The sequence below is a fragment of the Homo sapiens genome, chromosome 11 (assembly GCF_000001405.40).
Source record: "Homo sapiens chromosome 11, GRCh38.p14 Primary Assembly".
In the NCBI taxonomy this organism is placed as follows: domain Eukaryota; kingdom Metazoa; phylum Chordata; class Mammalia; order Primates; family Hominidae; genus Homo; species Homo sapiens.
Window position 1 is genome coordinate 67991059 of NC_000011.10, and position 17488 is coordinate 68008546.

Below are 17488 nucleotides of genomic sequence, written 5' to 3' on the forward strand. Positions count from 1 at the left end.
GGCATCCGTGCATCCGTCCCCCGCGGCCTGGGACTCCCCAGTCAGGACAGTACAAAATCTCTTTATTGCTCATTTTCTGTAAAAAATCGTGGCTCTCGGCGGACCCTGGGGATAGGAGGTGCAAAGTGCGCTCACACGCGGCCCGGGTCCGCGGCCGAGAGCTGTGGGGATCTGGAGCGGGCCGGGTCGCAAGAAGACCCTGACCGTGCTCCGGCGCTGGGGCGCGTGCTAAGGGCCCGCGGGGTTTCAGCTGTATTTTCGAACCCCTGTGCTTGGCCGAGGGGTTCCCAAGGCTCCACTCCGCCTTGGAGGGGGCTGCGGAAGCCCGGAGGTGACCTGGGCTCTGGGAGGGGCGTCCCCAACGTGGGGGAGGGGAGACAGGGGCCTTTGAAGACAGCGCGGGACTCGGAGGGGGTCCCCCCGACCTCAGACGTGGTAAACTGAGGCCGGCGAGGAGGGAGGCTGAGTCCGGGGACCAGGCGGCCCCTCACTGCTCCTCCGGCCCGTCTCCCCCCTGCGCCTGTTCGTACGGGCAGGGCCGGCGGCCGAGTCCAGCGGGCTCGGGGCCAGGCCTGGGCCCTGCGGGCGGCGCCTCCTCCTCCGCGCCGTCCCCATGCTCGCCCTCCGCGTCGCTCTCGTCCGAGTTGTCCTCCTCCAAGTAGCGGTAACCGCGCACCTTGTGCTGGGGCCGCGGGATGCGGGGCTGGCGCGGGGCCACGCCCCGGCGCAGCTTCTGCTCCATCCGCAGGTAGGAGACCGCGGCCGCCACCAGCGTCACCAGCAGCACCGCCAGCTTAGCCTGGGCGTAAGGAGAGGGATGCCAGGGACCCGCGGCCGCCTCGCCCCGCACCTTCCCCGCCTATGCCCCTCGCTGAGATAGGCCCTTCCCTCCTCCGGGAGCCTCCCGGGCCACGCGGCCCTCAACTTCTCCAGCCCCTCCACCCATGCTTCCTGGACCGCCTCCTGCAGGCGAGGCTCACATCCAGCACTGTCCCTTACAGTCGCCACGCCCCTGGCGACCTCAGTGTCCCACACTGTAAGGGGACAATGCAAATCCCTTTGCCTCATAGGGTGCATGCGCCAGTGTTGATAAAGTGCTGGCCACAGGCCCTGCCTTCCCAGGGCTCACAACACTGTGTCCCTGACACACCCGTGGGCTGTAGTGATGCTTTTCATGGGGTTTTGACTATAACCCGCAGTCAGGAATGATTTCACACCATAGCCCAGTACATACACACATATCTGTATGCATACTTCCTGCTCTTTTCTTTTTTCCAGACACGGTCGCTCCGTTTCCCCACCGCGCCCCCTCCCTCCCTTCCCCCACCCACTGCTGGAGCGCAGTGGCACGCTCACTTCAGCCTCAATCTTCCAGGCTCAAGCCATCCTCCCACTTCAGTCTCCCAAGTAGCTGGAACTACAGGCACACGCCACTACGCCCAGCTATTTTTTAAATTTTTTGTAGAGACAGGGTCTCCTATGTTGCCCAGGCTGGTCTTGAACTCCTGGCCTCAAGCAATCCTCCTGCCTCAGCCTCCCAAAGTGTTGGGATTACAGGCGTGAGCCACCATGCCCAGCCCACTCACTGCTTTTCTTTTTTTTTTTTCCTTTTTTTTTTTTTTGGAAGACAGAGTCTCGCTCTGTCCTCCAGGCTGAAGTGCGGTGGCGCGATCTTGGCTCACTGCAACCTCCATCTCCCAGGTTCAAGCCATTCTTGTGCCTCAGCCTCCAGAGTAGCTGGGATCACAGGGACGTGCCACCATGCCCAGCTAATTTTTGTGTTTTTAGTAGAGACAGAGTTTCACAGCCTGTTACCCAGGCTGGTCTCGAACTCCAGATCTCAGAACCCCCACCTCAGCGTCTCAAAATGCTGGGATTACAGGCGTGAGCCACTACTGCCAGCCCACTCCCTGCTATTTTTAGTTCTATTTTTATTTTTATTTTGAGACGGAGTTTCGCTCTTGTTGCTTAGGCTGGATGGAGTGCCAACGCCCCGTCTCGGCTAACTGCAACCTCCGCCTCCCAGTTCAAGTGATTCTCCTGCCTCAGCCTCCTGAGTAGCTGTGATTACAGGCACCTGCCACCACGCCCGGCTAATTTTTGTATTTTTAGTAGAGACGAGGTTTCACCATGTCGGTCAGGCTGGTCTCAAACTCCCTACCTCAGGCAATCCACTCGCCTCGGCCTCCCAAAGTGCTGGGATTACAGGCGTGAGCCACCGCGCCCGGCCTTTAGTTCTATTTTTAAAAAATGTTTAGCAACTGGGACTTGCTAGACCGAGCCACCATTTTTTGTGAGCAGAGCATGAGGAGCCTGCTCCCCTTCAGGCCATGAAGAGAGACAGACCCAACATCTGGAGAACAAGGTACCAAACAGCCCACAGGATGGCTGTGATGCACCCACAAATCCCCTCAGAGATGGGCAAACTGAGACTGGCTGGAGGTGGGCCAGTAAGTGGGGTGCTGAGTTGGGGGCCACCCAGTGGGCTGCAGGAATGGGGCCTTGGCCCAGAGACTGGCTTGGGAAGGGGTGGCATTTAGGAAGCTGTGAAGCCAGGGCAGGGGCTAAGGAAGTACCTGTCATTGGGCATGGGGCCCCCAACCCTGCCCAGTCTCACCTTCATGTGCAGGCTCGAGCCCAGGTACACGGTGAAGATGGCCACAGCCTGCCACCAGTGGTAGATGGTGAAGATGAAGTCCTGTCTCTCCTTGTCTTCGTACAAGATTCCCAGGAGTGCTGCAGGCAGGCAGTACAGGGCAGGCAGGGGAGAGGTGTCACCTGGGGCCTGGGGCTACCGAGCTACCATCTACGAACTTTACTAAGCCCTGTATGGGTCCCAGCCCCGGACCAGAGAGCGCCTAGAAAGTGCTGTGAGGCGGTCCTGGCCTGCCCCCTGGTGGAGACCCTGGTCACCACACTGCTCACACGCTAAGCAGAAGTAGGAGCAGGTGCCTCGGGCTGTGTGGATGCAGGTGTTCCCGCTCCGCACCACATGCGTGGCCTCAAAAGAAGAAAGCTCTGTGCTTAGTCATGTCCTGTCCCCAACCCAGGTGTGCAGTGCCAAGCTTGCAGGCGCTGTTTCTCCTCCTCAGCCAGGACTAGAGAGATCGAACTGTTTGCAGCTGCCAACTCTGCAAATCAAACCTGAAGCTAAGCATGGAGAGGGGGGATTCCTTTCCAGTGAGTCCTCCCAGGGTGGGCAACAAGAGTAATGGATTGGGAGTCAGAAGATGCACGCTCGTTCTCAGGGCTGTAATGTTGGCTCTGTGGGTGATTTGGGTACTTAACTCCCCAGAGCTGCTTTTCCCAATGGTGAGATGAGCTTATGCCTATTGTGTGCTGTGTTCTGAAGTTCTAAAGTGAGAAAGTGGGCATGGCACCTGCCAAATCATAGGGGCCACTATTAACACCTTCACCAGGCACTCAGGATATGAACACTCCTGTTTTGGGGCCCTGCAGGGTGACTTTACCCCCACAGTGCTGCTATGAAGAGACAAGGACCCCCCGGGGTTCACCGGAGGAGATGGGATATGGAGCTGGGCAGAGGGGATGCCAGGACCAGACAGGGCACAACATGGGTTCAAGATACCCAGGCTGGACTCTGCCCAGAATTGGCTATCCTTGGGCAAAACGGCCAAGAGACTGTGGTGCAGTATGAGGCTCCAGCCCCTGCTACAGACAGAGACACAGAGCCAGCCTCCGCCCTGCCAGCAGCAGGCATGACCTCGGCTACTCCACACCCCCAAGGATGACGTTCAAAACTGTTCACAGCTTCGGCCCATCAGAACAGACACTGACATGGATGCCCGGCAGGACTGCCCATGTGTGCTAGCTGTGTTTCACTGCGTGTGCCCATCTGTGGTCAGGGAGCATCCTGGAGCTGAACATGGGCCCACCCGCTGCCTTCTGCAAACAGGGCCCTGTTCCCCAGCAGCCCAGACCTGGGGCCTGGACTCTGGTACTGAGCAGACTGGGTTGGGGCTGCAGGCCTGCTCCTCTCTATACAAAGGCCCATGTCTGTATCTATGCCATGGGTGTACAACAGGCCACTTGCTCCTACCACATGCTCCGTGAAGCAGAGACCAAAACATCTGCTCCAAGTGTCATGAAAACTATGCCAGGGTAAGCCCTGTCCCCTGGTATGAAAAGGGAGAATCCCTGATGTGTTTTTCACACTGTCCCTAAGGGGTGTCCACAGAGCCCCACACCTGCCCCATGTAGCCACGAGACTTCACACTGACCCTCCAGTGTTGATGGGGCCCTGTGCCCGCTCTGGGGTATTAACAGAATGTCCATGGCATGGAACCCCCATACCTGTCTCCAGGGTGTCCACACCCTACCCATCTGTCCCCAGTGTGTCCATAAGACTTCCCTTCCACCCCCGGAGTGTCCACAGGAAGCCCCACCTGCCTCTGCCATGTCCACAGGACCCTATGTGACCATGGGACCCCATATCTGTCCCTGGGATGTCTATGTCTCGCCAACCACCCACAGATAGCCATAAAGCCCCCTGCCCCGCCCCCCCCCCCCCAGTGCCCACAGCTATACTCACTGCTGAGTCCAGTCTTGTTCAGGGCACTGCCCACACCCCAAAGGGCAGCTGCCACATAGAGGATCCAGCTGTGTTGCAGGACCCGAGGCACAGGGGCCCAGAAAAAGAGGATGAAGGTGAGCAGCAGGTGCACCCCTGCTCCGGCCACCAGGGGCACCGGGCGTGGCAGCCACAGGCCCAGCAGGCCCAGGAGTGAGGCGGCTGAGGCGCCCAGGCTGTAAGCCACGAGGAGGTAAGCCAGCCGCTCCAGCCCCACCGAGCACACGCCATAGCCCTGCGGGGGGACAAGGGGTGAGTGTTGAAGTCTGGAACAGCCCAGACCACAGTCTCAGCCCTCCCCGCATCGCGGGGGTGCCTCACCCCCCTGCGATGGGGGTCCTAAGAGCCAGGGGGGAAGAGGGTCTGGCTCTTACTCCCCGCATCGTGGGGGGTGCCTCACCCCCCTGCGATGGGGGTCCTAAGAGTCGGGGGGAAAAGAGGGGTTGGCTCTTACTCCCCGCATCGCGGGGGGGTGCCTTACCCCCCTGCGATGGGGGTCCTAAGAGCCAGGGTGGGGAGAGGGGCCCCCCGCGATACGGGGAGTAAGAGCCAGGTGGGGAGAAGGGCTGGCTCTTACTCCCCACAAGAGGTGTTCCTTAGGCCACACCCTGCCCTCCCTGGACTGCCTGACCTCGCTCCAAGGCTCAGGGGAAGGTTCTGAGGGCAGGTGTGAAAATGCTTGGAATGTCCCTAGACACCGTGGGCTGTACCCCACAAGGAACTAAACACTCTGTGGGTGCTATCCCATTTCGATTCAGAGAAGTTAAAATAACTTGCCCAAGGTAAAGGGGGGACGGGGGTAAGAGAGGGAAGAGAAAGCAGGAGGGGGATATTTGGGATATACATGTACACACTTACATATGTAATTAAAAATTATTCTTTGTTTACTTGAATTCAAATTTACCTGGCTATCTTGTCTTTTGTCGGGCAATCCTTTGCAGGCTGTACTTACCAAGGCGATACCAGTGCAGGCAAAGAGCACCTCGAAGCCGCTGTAGATAAAGAAAGGCACGAGGTGGCGCAGGCGGTAGTCACGCACGTGCTTGAAGGGCAGCTGGAAGATGTTGCCCCAGCCCACGCTGCGCAGATCGATCTCCTCCGTGGGCCGGTAAGCGGCTCCGCACAAACCCAGCACCTGCGAACCCATTACTTGAAGGGGCGGCCAGCCAGGCCCAGGCCTGGCCTCCAGGCTTCAGCCCCGCCCTTCAGATGCACCACGTGCCTGGGCCTTGCCCCAGCTCGGCCCCGCCTCCCAAACCAGGGCCCCGCCCCTGAGACACTCCCACAGACCCAGGTCTTGCCTTATCCCAGCTCAAGGCCCCGCCTCTCAGCACAAAGCCACGCCACCACACTCCGAAAGACGGTGGTCTTGCCTCCCAGCCCAAGGCCCCATCCCCTCTCTCTCACATACACACACTTCACAACTCACATTCAGACAAATCCATAGACTTCAACCTTCCTTCTCAGCCCCGCGCCAGACCTCAGCCCCGCCTTCCAGGCTAGTCCCCGCCCCTCGGACACACCCACAGACTTCGGCCCCGCGTCCCAGCACTAGGCCCCGCCTGACACAGCCACGGACTGGGCCTTGCCTCCCAGCTCCATCGCCAGGCTGCAGCATGCCAACGCCTTAGTTCTGCCGTCCAGTATCACTTCCAGTTTGAGCCACACCTTCCAGCCCTCACCCTTGGTCCTGTCCCCAACCCCCTCACAGGTCTCAGTCAGTCTTCTAAGATCTTGTCTCCAGCTCGAAACTGTGGACCAAGCCTGTTCCCTCCTTCCCCTGGCCTCTGGATGCCCACGCCTGCCTCGGACCACAGGCCTCAGCCCCGCCTCCGAGCCTCATGCCCGCTCTGCAGCACTCGGCCCTAGCTCCCCAACTCAGATCGCGCTCCCAGGCCTACGGCCTGCCCCGAGGCCACAACCCGACCCAGGCCATGCCATCCGATCCAGACCCTTTCTCGCAGACTCGGTCCCCAGAACCACACTCTGCTTCACTGACTGTCCTGCCCCCATCCCGGGCCGCACCAGCAGCATGGCCAGGAAGGCCACTGCCATGAGCACGCTCTCCACCACAATGAGGTTTCCGCTCCGCGGGAGCGTCCGCAGAACCGTCTTGTTGAAGCCGCTGAGGATCCCGTGGCTGTTGGTGCCTGGGAAGGGTGGGGGTGAGGGCACCGTGAGCAGAGAGTAGGGCACACAGTCAATCCAGCCACCAGGGTGGAGCCACGCAGGCCGCGGAGGAGCGGTGGAGGGCGGGAGAGTGAGAGCAAGGGCAGAGTTCCTTCAGAGAGCAGTTTGGAGGTTTGGACCACTGGGGCTGGGTTTGGACCACTGGGGCTGGGTGTTCCCCGGGAAAGGGGCATCTTTCCCCTGCTTCCCACCCTATTTCCCCAAGGCTCAGTGGACCTCACATTTCCATGCACACCCCCTGCACTGATTGAGCTCTGACTGTTTGCCTGGCCCCAAGAAAGATCCCACTGGCAGCCTCAGCCCAGATGGTGCCTTCTCCAGGCAGTCTTCCCCGCCCACCCACTCTCCTGGCTGGGTCAGATGTCCTAACTACTTACTCCTACAGGGCCCTGTGTCTTGCCCACCAGAGCCGTGGGGCACTGGGCTGCCAGCCCTGAATCCTGTGAGTGAGGGCCCAGTGTCTGCTGGGGAAGTAAGCAGGCTTTGTGGACTCCTCCCCAACCCCCAACAAGGACTAACCGCAGCTCTGCACATTGTACAGCGTGTGGTTCAGGTCATACAGGTAGTGGTTCAGGAAATAAATCATGGGCAGCTGGGCGCAGGCGAAGCTCAGCTGCAGAAACAAGGGCAGTTGGGACCAGACTCAGGCACAGAGCCAGGCAAGGGACACAGGCATGGTCTGGGGAGGGGTCCAGGCACAGCCTTGGGGGAACAGGGGCCTTCCCAGTTCTGGGAGTAGTGTGGTTACAGGGCCGCCCAATGAGGAAGACCTCCTCCTGGCCAGCATTGTGGAAAAGGGCAGATGAGATCTCTATCTCTATGGATGAGCAAGCTGGGGTGGGCTCAAGAAAGGAAGATGGGCAGCCTGGGCAACATAGTAAGATCCTATCTCTACAAAAAATAAAAAATTAGCTGGGTGTGGTAGCACACGCATATGATGCCAGCTACTCAGAAGGCTGAGGTAGGAGGATCACTTGAGCCCAGCAGTTCAAGGTTGCAGTGAGCTGTGACTGCACTACTGCACTCCAGCCTGGGCAACAGTGCAAGACCCTGCCCCCAACCCCCACCAAAAAAAAAAGAAAGAAAGAAAAAGAAATGAAGGTGGGGCAGATACAGTGGTGTGCGCATGTAGTCCCAGCTACTTGGGAGGCCAAGGTGGGAGGATCACTGGAGCCCAGGAGTTCAAAGCCATCTGGGCAACATAGTGAGACCAGGCCTCTTAAAAATAACAATAATAAAAGAAAGAAAGTGGGACTAGAGGGTTGAGACTGTGGATGGGCTCCAATGCGTGGGTCTGCCCCTGCCACCCAACAATGGCCCACGTGGCACTCACATGGAAGAAGCTGTAGAAGATGGCTTGGAAGACCAGGAGATAGGGCGCGTGGGAGCCCCGCGGAGGCCGCTGCTTCATCCCCTGCCCATCCTGCTCCTTGTAGTGGGAGTACTCATGGTACTTCTGCGCCATCCTGGACCACAAAGGAGAGAAGGCTCTCCCCAGCCCGACCTGTGCCACTCCTGTGTGTCCTGCACCCAGAGCTAGGAGCAGACCAGCCCCGGTGTGGGGAAACTGAGGCCCAGAGGGCGGAAGGGGCTTCCTGTGGTCCCCCAGCCAAAGTTGGCAATAAAGTGGAGGCTTGGCCAGGTCTCCAGCCTCCTGCCCTGCTGCCCACCAGGCTCACCTGGTGATGTAGTTGCCCATGGAAGCCCAAAGAGGCACGATGGCCATGCCCAGGGCCACAGCCGAGGGCACAAGCGTGTAGTAGCGCTCCCAGTAGTTGGTGGAGACAAAGAGGGCGTAGATGCCCACAGCGAGGAACATCATCCACTTCGTTCCAAAAAACCTGCGGACAGTGGGAGAGATGCTGGCACCACAGGCCTGCTGGACCACTGTGGCCTGAAGCCAAACGGGGCCACAACCGCAGGTCCCAGCTCACAGGGCTTTGTGAGGTAGAGAGAGTCGAGGGCACTGAGATGGAATATCAGATACACAGACTTGCTGAGTGGCCTCAGGCAAGCTACTGTGCCTCAGTTTTCCCAGCTGTAATATGGGCACGGAGCCCAAACCACAGGCCTCTCATCACCACTGTGAGGATGGAGAGTGACCCATGGGTGTAACCAGCCCTCATGCGTGTTCTGGGCTCTCTGATTCTCCCATTCCCCCTTCTCCTCCCAAGCTCATGCACTGTGTCTGTAGGGCCCAGGGGCTTGACTCAGGCTGGGAGAAGAGAAAGGAAGAGGCCCCACTGCTGGGAGCAGCAGAGCCAGAGTCCCGGCACCCCTGCCTCCAGTCCATTGCTTTTATGAACCATGGTGGTCAGTCAGGAAGTTTCCACCTCTCTGGGTCTGGGAAAAGGTCACACAGTGACAATAGAAGGGGCTTGGTGAGTGACAGGATGAGGGCTCAACCACCCATGGAGGCTGATCAGGCCAAAAACCACTACTGGTATCTTCAAGTTTTCTGTATTTATGCTCCTTAAGTAAAAATGCCAGTAAAAATGTGCATTCACTGCTGGTGAGGATGTGGTTTGAAAGTGGCACATATAGGCCAGGCACAGTGGCTCACATCTGTAATTCCAGCACTTTAGGAGGTGGAGGTGGGCAGATCACCTGAGGTCAGAAGTTTGAGACCAGCCTGGCCAACATGGTGAAACCCCACCTCTACTAAAAATACAAAAATTAGCCGGGTGTGGTGGTGCACACCTGTAATCCCATCTACTTGGGAGGCTGAGGCAGGAGAATCGCTTGAACCCAGGAGGTGGAGGTTGCCGTGAGCTGAGATCGCGTCACCGCACTCCAGCCTGGGCAACAGCAAGATTGCTCAAAAAAAAAGTGGCACATATAGCCAGTGGTCACACACACTGGCATAACCCTTTGGGAAAGCAGCCTGGTAGTTTTGGCAGGGGGTGAACATGTGGATTTGAGTCCCTCTACTGGGGTTCAAGCCTTCAGTCTGCCAGTTACTGCCTGTGGGACCTGGGCAAGTTGTTTAACACCATGGTTTCTTCATGTCTAAGACTGGAGCAGCTTCCTCAAATTATTGGGAATGAAATTGCGCTTATAAAGTGCCCAGCACGGCCGGGCGTGGTGGCTCGTGCCTGTAATCCCAGCACTTTAGGAGGTGGAGGTGGGCAGATCACCTGAGGTCAGAAGTTTGAGACCAGCCTGGCCAACATGGTGAAACCCCGTCTTTACTAAAAATACAAAAAATTAGCTGAGCGTGGTGGCGGGCGCCTGTAATCCCAGCTACTCAGGAGGCTGAGGCAGGAAAATCGCTTGAACCTGGGAGGCAGAGGTTGGAGTGAGCCGAGATTGTGCCATTGCACTCCAGCCTGGTGATAGAGTGAGACTCCATTTCAAAAAAAAAGTAAAAATAAAAATAAATAAATAAAATAGAGTGTCGGGCAGACAGGAGACAAGAGTTCACTGCTATTAGTAGAAGTGATAGGTTTCAAAAGCCATAAAGCCTTTTGTATGGCTTGGACCTAGTAAAGACATTGTTGAAAATGTATCCTAGGAAAAATAATTGTTTAAAAAATTGGGGGAGTGCTGGATGTGGTGGCTCACACCTGTAATCCCAACACTTTGTGGGGCTGGGGCGGGTGAATTTGAGACTGGCCTGAGCAACATAGCAACTCCCCATCGCTACAAATACTTTAAAAATCAGCCAGATGTGATGGCGTGCGCCTGTAGGCCCAGCTACTCGGGAGGCTGAGGTGGGAGGATTGCTTGAGCCCAGTGTGTGGGGGTTGAGGAGGCAGTGAGCTGTGTTCGTGCCACTGCACTCTAACCTGGGTGACAGAGTGAGACTCTGTCTCAAATAATAATAATAATAAAATAAATAAACACATAATTTAAAAAAAAAAAACAAGGAAACAGATGTAAGCACAGAAGGAACTGCAGTGTCCAATTCCAAGCCACTGTTCAGTGCCACCGTATCTGCAGAAGATGCTACCATTGCAAAGTCGTAACTGTGAAGGCTGTAGAGTAGGCTAAGATATGCTCAGTGAAAAGAAGGAAGCAAGCTCTGGGCACTGTGGCTCATGCCTGTAATCCCAGCACTTTGGGAGGCCAAGGCAGGAGAATCACTTGAGGTCAGGAGTTTAAGACCAGCCTGGTCAACATAGTGAAACCCCATCTCTACTAAAAGTACAAAAATTAACCGGGTGGCAGGCGCCTGTAATCCCAGCTACTCAGGGTGCTGAAGTAGGAGAATCGCTTGAGCCTGGGAGGCAGAGGTTGCAGTGAGCCGAGATCACACCACTGCACTGCAGTCTAGGTGACAGAGCAAGTATCTGTCTCAAAAAAAAAAAAGTAAGCAAGCAAAAGCAAACATAGCCCGCTTGCATACACACACACACACACACACACACACACACACACACGGGCACGTCCACACACGTGCTCTGGGGACAAGGATGTGAATGTAATCCATGCATGCTGGTGGGACAGCATGGGTAGCCGATTTCCTGGAGGGCTTAGATGGGGTTTCTTTTTTATGATTTCAGTTATTCTAATCCTGCCTGTGCAACGGGAGATGTTTTAAATTTTCAAATTTTTGTTTAAATGGAGTTTTCTCTTGTTGTTTTGTTTGTTTGTTTGTTTTAAAGATGAGGGAGCTCAAATTCACCTAATTTGTCCACTGGTCTCCAGGTCCCATCAGGGAGGGCACTGTGGACCGGTGATGGGGAGGCTGAACCACATACCTCCAGGGCTCAGATCTGGGGGAGAGCTCTGGGGCACCTGCCCAGCCATGCCTGTCTGTGAGAAACACCCCCTCAGCACCAGTCACAGCGACTGGGCCAGGCATGGGTGCCTGGACTTTGCTGACCGATCAGAAACCCCTAACTCTACAGCCCCAACCCTGAAGGCCACAGTGGCTCTGGGAGGCCTCCAAGGAGGCCACGAGGAGGGTGCCACGTGAGGCCCAGGCAAGCTGGGAGGGAGCTCAGCCCGTGTGAATCTGTTGCTGGAAACCAAATGTGCCCTGAGGCAAAGTTCCTGTTTCCTTCCCCAAATCCGAGTTTCACCCCCTTCACTCTCAGGCTTCCGGGTAGAAAAAAACCTCTCCCTTGTTCCCTCGCCCCACAAACACCCCGGCAGATGGACACCTCCTGGCCCGCCGGCCTCTGTACCCCTCCGAAATGGGAGTACCGCAGCATCCCACAGGAGCAGCCGCGCCCACCTGATGAGCACAGGTGTGTAGAGCAGGGCGGCGATGGGAGTCACGTTGATGCCCATCAGCATTTTGCTGTCGATGTCGGGCAGCCCCATGTTGCCATACTTCACCTCGCGGTAGGTCTCGTCGTAGTGCAGGATCAGCTGCATCTGCAGGAGGCCTGGGGACAGGACAGAGAGCGGCGTGCAGGGAGCAGCCTAGCTTTGGGCGCCACCGAGCAGAAGACGGCATGCAGGCCTCGCAGGGAGCTCCAATCACCGAAGGCATTCCCGCTGACAGCGCCCCTCAGGACAGCGGGGTTCCCGGGCTGCGCCACGCCTTCTGCCAGCCCGCGGCCACTTGGCCAGCTAAGCCCAGACCCCCACCCGCCTTGCTCCGCCGGCCTCCAATTCTGACGGTGGCAGGTCTGTCCGGGAGCCCGGACCCCCGTCCCCCACCCACACCGAGGCTCTGGCTGGGACCCGGGGACGCTGCGCTACTTGACCCCCCAACCCCACCCCCGCCGCGGGGGGCCGTGGCTGCAGCTGCGAGGGCAGCGGAGGGGAAGTGAGAGCGGGCGGGAGGCGGCGGCCCGCGGTTTCTGTTTCCCGGGCCGGGCTGGGAGCGGGCGGGGCGGCCCCGGGTCCCCGAGCGGCACCTACCCAGGTAGACGCCGTAGGTGAGCATGCCCCCGGCGCTGGCAGCCAGCACGTTCTTGAGCACGCCCAGGCGCTTGCGGCGGTAGTAGCGGCGCTCCTCCTCCTCCTCGTTGTAGTTGGGGTACGCGCCCACCAGCTCGTCCAGCTGCGAGCCACGCACGCCGCTCGCACCCGCGATCGCGCCCCGAACCCGTGTCCCCCGGTGCCCGCCGCCCCCCGGCCCGCCCCGCCCCCGCCGGGGGGACCCTGGCCCACAGGGGACGCCCGCGCCTCGCACTCCGGGTCCCCGCTCACCGGGGCCTCGGGCCCGTCCGGGACCCCGAGCAGGTCCTCGTCGCCCTGCGGCCCCGCAGCCCCCGCCATCGGGTAGAGCGGCGGCTCCGCCTCCATGGCCCGAACTACTGCGGACTCGCGGCGGTCGCCCCGGAGTCCCTGCGACCGCCCGGCCACTTCCTCCCGGCGGCCGGGACCTGCCCCCGCCCCGCCCTGTCCCGCCCTGCGGGCCGCCTCCTCCAGGACACGTGTGTGTGTATGTGTGTGTGCGCGCGCGCGCGCGCGTGTGTGCAGGGGCCTGCCTGTGTGTGCCCTCTGGGGTGTGAGTTCGAATCCCCACTCAGCCACCTCCTGGCCCTGTGACTTTAGGAATTAACTCCATTTCTTTGTGCCTCGGTTTCCTCCGTTTCCTCGACGGTAAAACAGAAATACATGGCACTACCCCCGGGGCCATGGCGGAACTATTGAGTTAATGCAAAGCCTTGGAAAAGTGCCAGGGTTGCCTGGCTCCCTTAAGCTCCCCTCAGGGTTGCCTGGGTCGTCCCCAGCCCCACCTCCAAGCCTGCTGTTACAGCTCATCAAAGAGCACTGCAGGGACAGTAGCGTCACCACCTGGACCCCACCTCCCACCACCGGACGCTACAGCCAGAGCCCACCTCCCATGTCCCCATCCTGCTCCAGTTTGGGCTGTGCAAATGGGAGCTTGAGTGGGTCCTGGGAGGTGGAGATTGTGATCCCCACTGAACTACATGGGGGACCCTGCCACAACCATGTAGTGGGGCCCAGAGCCACCTGCCCCCATCCTGCTGGGCACTGGATCCCGGGCTGCAGCGGGAGCCTGTGGTGGGGCCGACACTCCAAAGCACTGGCTACCACCGACCTGGCTGGAGCCACGGGGCCACTTTTGAAAATATCCAGATTCTCTCCCCTGGGTTCCTTCTGGTTTGAATGCTCTTCCTGCTGCGCCTCCCAGGTGGCTTCCTTCCCACTCAGCTCTCAGAACAAGAGACCATCCCTGCAGAGAATGCAGTCCCTTCACTTCCCTTCTGGTTTTCCATGCCCTCCCTGTGCACCCCCCTCCACCCACTGCTCTTTAGGTACATCCTCTCCCAAATGCAGAGGATGGCATTGGGCACCTACTGAGTGATCAATACTTGTGACTGGATGGGTGCATGAGTGACTGGATGACAAACACCTCCCACCCCGCAAGGATTGCTGGGAAGGTGGGGGGAGGCGTGAATCTGCAGTGGCTTCAGGCTTCCAGGAGGTAGAACTTTCTCCAGGTGACGATGCCCAAGTGCAGATGTGGGGAACAGACAGGTGGATTCATGCAGGTGGGTGGCTGGAAGTGGGAGACAGGAAAGGAGCCGAAGAGAGGGCAGGGCCCGAGGCGCAGGGGCAGGGAGGAGGTGGGAGAGTATGGCTATGGCGGGGGCCGTTCTCAGATGGCAGACACCAGCATCATTACACAGTATGATGAGAAAGTGCAATTCTCCTGACTCAGCCTTGTGAGTAGCTGGAATTACAGGCGTGTGCCCCTACACCCAGCTGATTTTTGTATTTTTAGTAGAGATGGGGTTTCACCATATTGGCCCAGGCTGGTCTCGAACTCCTGACCTCAAGTGATGTACCCGCCTTAGCCCCCAAAGTGCTGGGAGTGGGCCCCCCGAGCTTCTCAATTTCCCTGAGGGACCCCAAACTTCTGGGGCCTGGTGCAATCTCTTCCTCCCCTTGTTCCTCTGGGCCTGGGGGTTGTGGCGGTTGCTATGGTTGCCCATCCTGGGCTCTTCCATCACCTGTGCTGTACCACCAATTCCCTGCACTCAATGTCTCCTACTCAAAACACCTGGAGAGGGTCGGGCGCTGTGGCTCACGCCTGCAATCCCAGCACTTTGGCTGGCCAAGGAGGATCACTTGAGCTCAGGAGTTCAAGACCAGCCTCAACAAAGTGAGACAAACCCCCCCCCCCAACCCATCTCTACAAAAAATACAAAAACTAGCCTGGTGTGATGGTGGACACCTGTAGCCCCAGCTACTCAGGAGGCTGAGGTGGGAGAATTGCTTGAGCCCAGGAGGATGAGGCTGCAGTGAGCTGAGATTGTGCCACTGCATTCCAGCGTGGGTGACAGAGTGAGACCTCTCAAACAAACAAACAAACAAAAAACAAAAAAAACAAAAAACAGCCCTGGAGGCACTAAACCCTGACTGATACACCTCCTCTCTCCAGAAAGGATTTTTTTTTTTAGGTGGTTTATGGAGCTGCTCTTGGGGAGCCTGGAGACTATCTAAGAGGCTGATAGGGTGGCCCAGATAAACACACCAGGGTGACCTGCGGGACAGAGATCTGAGCAGGGCCAGCACCTCCACCAACCCATCCAGGTTGCAACAGTGCACAGTCACATCCCCAGGAAGGGGTGGCCAGATCCCCCCGTGCTCACTGTTTGCCAATGCTTTTCTCTATAATAAGCCTTTACTTTCAGTTCTCATTATGAAAATAATCGATGTTCCTTGCAGAAAAGCAAGCAGAAGAGAATAAATATTGCTCTCAACTGGAACTCCCTGAAACAACCTCTTGGAATATTGTTGCCCCGCATTGCACTGACACAGGAGCGTGCTGGGCAGCCCACGTGATTCCCTTCACACCACTTCCCTGGCATGGATGTGATTCCACAATATTTTAAACATTAAAGCCAATGGGGATGATGATCACTGAGTCTGGCTCACAGGATGGTGGGAGGTCCCCAGGTTGGGGTGTGCCAAAGGCTCTGCCCAGTGCCTGGCACAGCAAATGCCCAGGTGGCTGCTGCTTTCCACTGAGACTTGAGGCTCCTGAGAGTTGGTGGCAAAGGGCTCACCCAGAGCTGAAGACTCCAGCCCATTCCTGTGCGAGGGCTCCAGGCACCTTGGAAGCACCGTGGGCCGGGGAGCCAGGCCAGGCTGGTTGTGGATCCCCATGAGTCCTTGTCACTGTGTGGCCCAGCTGGAAAGCATGGTCAATAATGTCTGGGAATTGTGAAAATTGTGTGAAGTGTCTGCACACAGTAGGTGCTCAGTAAAGGTTTGTTGAGTGCGTAAATGAACAAGTGACCCGCATTCACCGTTGCCCGTGAGTTCTGACTGTGTCCTGGGCCCTGGGCCCCTACAGCCTCTAACTTTGCCTCTTCAAGGAGCCAGGGTGGGTCCAGCCTTCAAGACTGCCAGGGAGGGGGTGGGAGGCAGGGCCAGGGCCTCAGGGCCAAGGCCTGGGGCAGCCACTTCCTCAGGAGGGCAAGGAGAGGGGCAGGAGGACATTCACATGCTCTGAGCGCCTACTGAGAACCAGGTGCCCTGTCGGTGCCTTCAGGTCGGCTCTCGTTTCACCCTCGCAGTAGCCATGTGAGGCAGGCAGAGTCAGCCCCCATTTTACAGCTGGGGAAACTGAGGCCCAGTGAGGGGACGTTTCTTTTCAAGGTCACTCGTGGGCAGATGAGGCAGTGAGATGCTCTTGGGCAGGTCTGAGGCCCTGTGAGCCAGGCTCAGGGGCGTGTTTCTGAGAAGTGAGGGAATGAATGAATGAATTATGAATGGATGAATGATTCCACCTGATGCCATGCTCATGCCCTGCCCACACTCCTGTCCTAGAGTCTGGAAGGTAGCTCTCAGACCCTTCCAGAGGGGGCCGGGCACTTGGAATGGTCACAGTTCCGGGCCCACGTGCATGGAATAACTTGTTTCAGCCTCACAATCACTTATGTCCCATTTTACAGATGGGAAGGCAGAGGCACGGGGGGTTAAGACACTAACCTAGGTCACACAGGTAAGTGACAGGACCAGGATTTGAGCCCAGACCTCACACTTAACGCCCTCCATGCCAGGTGCTGAGATCCATGCCTGCCGAACCCTCTCATTCACCCACAGATGCCCCCGGGACTGTAGTCAGCCCCATTCTCACATGGGAACACTGAGGCCCAAAGAGGCGAAGCGTCAGCCCAGCAAGGAGGAGGCAGGGCAGGCGGGGCCGCAGCTGTCTGGCCCGGAGCCCTGAGCAACCCCTCCACCCACTCCCCCTGGCTGGCCTGGGCCTTGGCAGACCTCACCCCAGAGCTGGCTCCAAAAGTGAGTCCTCCTGGTGCCCTACCCAGAGGGCTCCCCATTTACCCTGGGCTCCTCAACAAAGATGGGACTCCCAGGCCCTACTGAGCCTCTGGAGCTTTGAGGAGTAGTGAGGGGCACCCAACCCAGAGTGGGGAGGGCCCAGCCCTCCTGGGAGGTGTGTGGCCTCCCTTGGGGGGAGCCTCACTCCCAGGGAAGGCTAGGAGTTCTGTCCCGGGAGGACAGGCCTCTTCGGGGGCCTCCTCCCAGGTTGCTCCTGCATTCATGACAAGTTCGGCCCCTGTGAGTTGGGGGAAATTCTTCAACAGCTCCCTGGCCAGGGAGGGGACCCTCGGGATCCTGAAACACCCCTCCCACCTGCCAGTACCCGCCAAGATGGGTCCCTGATTTGCTGTGTGGCCTTAGACCAGTGGCTGCCCTCTCTGGGCCTCACTCCCAGCTGAGACCTACAGGCTCAGCCCCTGCCCAGCCCTGCCTGGCACCCGCTCAATCTGGCTGAGCTCCAGAGAATGGCAGGGCTGGGCTGTC

The 17488-nt window shown here is 58.3% G+C and overlaps 1 protein-coding gene across 3 annotated transcripts, besides 14 other annotated features; it reads right to left on the reverse strand.

Moving 5' to 3' along the window:
• On the reverse strand, positions 42 to 13039 carry UNC93B1 (unc-93B1 regulator of TLR signaling). Of its 3 annotated transcripts, NM_030930.4 has the most exons (11): positions 12890 to 13039; positions 12599 to 12740; positions 11964 to 12117; positions 8461 to 8622; positions 8115 to 8247; positions 7301 to 7394; positions 6617 to 6741; positions 5544 to 5726; positions 4553 to 4826; positions 2618 to 2736; positions 42 to 799 (listed from the first exon to the last, which is right to left on the reverse strand). In NM_030930.4, exons 1-11 carry the CDS (start codon positions 12983 to 12985, stop codon positions 488 to 490), a joined length of 1794 nt encoding a protein of 597 aa, NP_112192.2. In that variant the 5' UTR covers positions 12986 to 13039; the 3' UTR covers positions 42 to 487. The 3 variants fall into 3 exon arrangements, with proteins under 3 accessions (NP_112192.2, XP_011543592.1, XP_011543593.1); XM_011545290.1 differs by lacking the exons at positions 12599 to 12740; positions 12890 to 13039 and having other exon boundaries at positions 8461 to 8621; positions 11962 to 12046; XM_011545291.3 differs by lacking the exons at positions 11964 to 12117; positions 12599 to 12740; positions 12890 to 13039 and having other exon boundaries at positions 8115 to 8317; positions 8461 to 8534.
• Positions 174 to 779: an enhancer, noted in NCBI's record as "H3K4me1 hESC enhancer chr11:67758703-67759308 (GRCh37/hg19 assembly coordinates)". NCBI's record gives its function as "activates a minimal SCP1, AML or CMV promoter by ChIP-STARR-seq in naive and primed H9 embryonic stem cells {active_cell/tissue: H9 hESC(naive and primed)}" and the evidence as "EXISTENCE:reporter gene assay evidence [ECO:0000049][PMID:30033119]".
• Positions 2857 to 2956: a silencer, noted in NCBI's record as "silent region_3652". NCBI's record gives its function as "represses an Ori minimal core promoter by ATAC-STARR-seq in GM12878 lymphoblastoid cells {active_cell/tissue: GM12878}" and the evidence as "EXISTENCE:reporter gene assay evidence [ECO:0000049][PMID:35858748]".
• Positions 5887 to 6561: an enhancer, noted in NCBI's record as "H3K27ac-H3K4me1 hESC enhancer chr11:67764416-67765090 (GRCh37/hg19 assembly coordinates)". NCBI's record gives its function as "activates a minimal SCP1, AML or CMV promoter by ChIP-STARR-seq in naive H9 embryonic stem cells {active_cell/tissue: H9 hESC(naive)}" and the evidence as "EXISTENCE:reporter gene assay evidence [ECO:0000049][PMID:30033119]".
• Positions 5900 to 6194: a silencer, noted in NCBI's record as "tiled region #11646; HepG2 Repressive DNase matched - State 18:Pol2". NCBI's record gives its function as "represses a minimal TATA promoter and a strong SV40 promoter by Sharpr-MPRA in HepG2 cells {active_cell/tissue: HepG2}" and the evidence as "EXISTENCE:reporter gene assay evidence [ECO:0000049][PMID:27701403]".
• Positions 5900 to 6194: an enhancer, noted in NCBI's record as "tiled region #11646; K562 Activating non-DNase unmatched - State 5:Enh". NCBI's record gives its function as "activates a minimal TATA promoter and a strong SV40 promoter by Sharpr-MPRA in K562 cells {active_cell/tissue: K562}" and the evidence as "EXISTENCE:reporter gene assay evidence [ECO:0000049][PMID:27701403]".
• Positions 6562 to 7236: an enhancer, noted in NCBI's record as "H3K27ac-H3K4me1 hESC enhancer chr11:67765091-67765764 (GRCh37/hg19 assembly coordinates)". NCBI's record gives its function as "activates a minimal SCP1, AML or CMV promoter by ChIP-STARR-seq in naive H9 embryonic stem cells {active_cell/tissue: H9 hESC(naive)}" and the evidence as "EXISTENCE:reporter gene assay evidence [ECO:0000049][PMID:30033119]".
• Positions 11592 to 11791: an enhancer, noted in NCBI's record as "active region_5126". NCBI's record gives its function as "activates an Ori minimal core promoter by ATAC-STARR-seq in GM12878 lymphoblastoid cells {active_cell/tissue: GM12878}" and the evidence as "EXISTENCE:reporter gene assay evidence [ECO:0000049][PMID:35858748]".
• Positions 11892 to 11941: an enhancer, noted in NCBI's record as "active region_5127". NCBI's record gives its function as "activates an Ori minimal core promoter by ATAC-STARR-seq in GM12878 lymphoblastoid cells {active_cell/tissue: GM12878}" and the evidence as "EXISTENCE:reporter gene assay evidence [ECO:0000049][PMID:35858748]".
• Positions 12042 to 12091: an enhancer, noted in NCBI's record as "active region_5128". NCBI's record gives its function as "activates an Ori minimal core promoter by ATAC-STARR-seq in GM12878 lymphoblastoid cells {active_cell/tissue: GM12878}" and the evidence as "EXISTENCE:reporter gene assay evidence [ECO:0000049][PMID:35858748]".
• Positions 12392 to 12801: a silencer, noted in NCBI's record as "silent region_3653". NCBI's record gives its function as "represses an Ori minimal core promoter by ATAC-STARR-seq in GM12878 lymphoblastoid cells {active_cell/tissue: GM12878}" and the evidence as "EXISTENCE:reporter gene assay evidence [ECO:0000049][PMID:35858748]".
• Positions 12862 to 13161: a silencer, noted in NCBI's record as "silent region_3654". NCBI's record gives its function as "represses an Ori minimal core promoter by ATAC-STARR-seq in GM12878 lymphoblastoid cells {active_cell/tissue: GM12878}" and the evidence as "EXISTENCE:reporter gene assay evidence [ECO:0000049][PMID:35858748]".
• Positions 12862 to 13539: a biological region, named in NCBI's record as "H3K4me1 hESC enhancer GRCh37_chr11:67771524-67772067".
• Positions 12996 to 13539: an enhancer, noted in NCBI's record as "H3K4me1 hESC enhancer chr11:67771524-67772067 (GRCh37/hg19 assembly coordinates)". NCBI's record gives its function as "activates a minimal SCP1, AML or CMV promoter by ChIP-STARR-seq in naive H9 embryonic stem cells {active_cell/tissue: H9 hESC(naive)}" and the evidence as "EXISTENCE:reporter gene assay evidence [ECO:0000049][PMID:30033119]".
• Positions 13540 to 14082: an enhancer, noted in NCBI's record as "H3K4me1 hESC enhancer chr11:67772068-67772610 (GRCh37/hg19 assembly coordinates)". NCBI's record gives its function as "activates a minimal SCP1, AML or CMV promoter by ChIP-STARR-seq in naive H9 embryonic stem cells {active_cell/tissue: H9 hESC(naive)}" and the evidence as "EXISTENCE:reporter gene assay evidence [ECO:0000049][PMID:30033119]".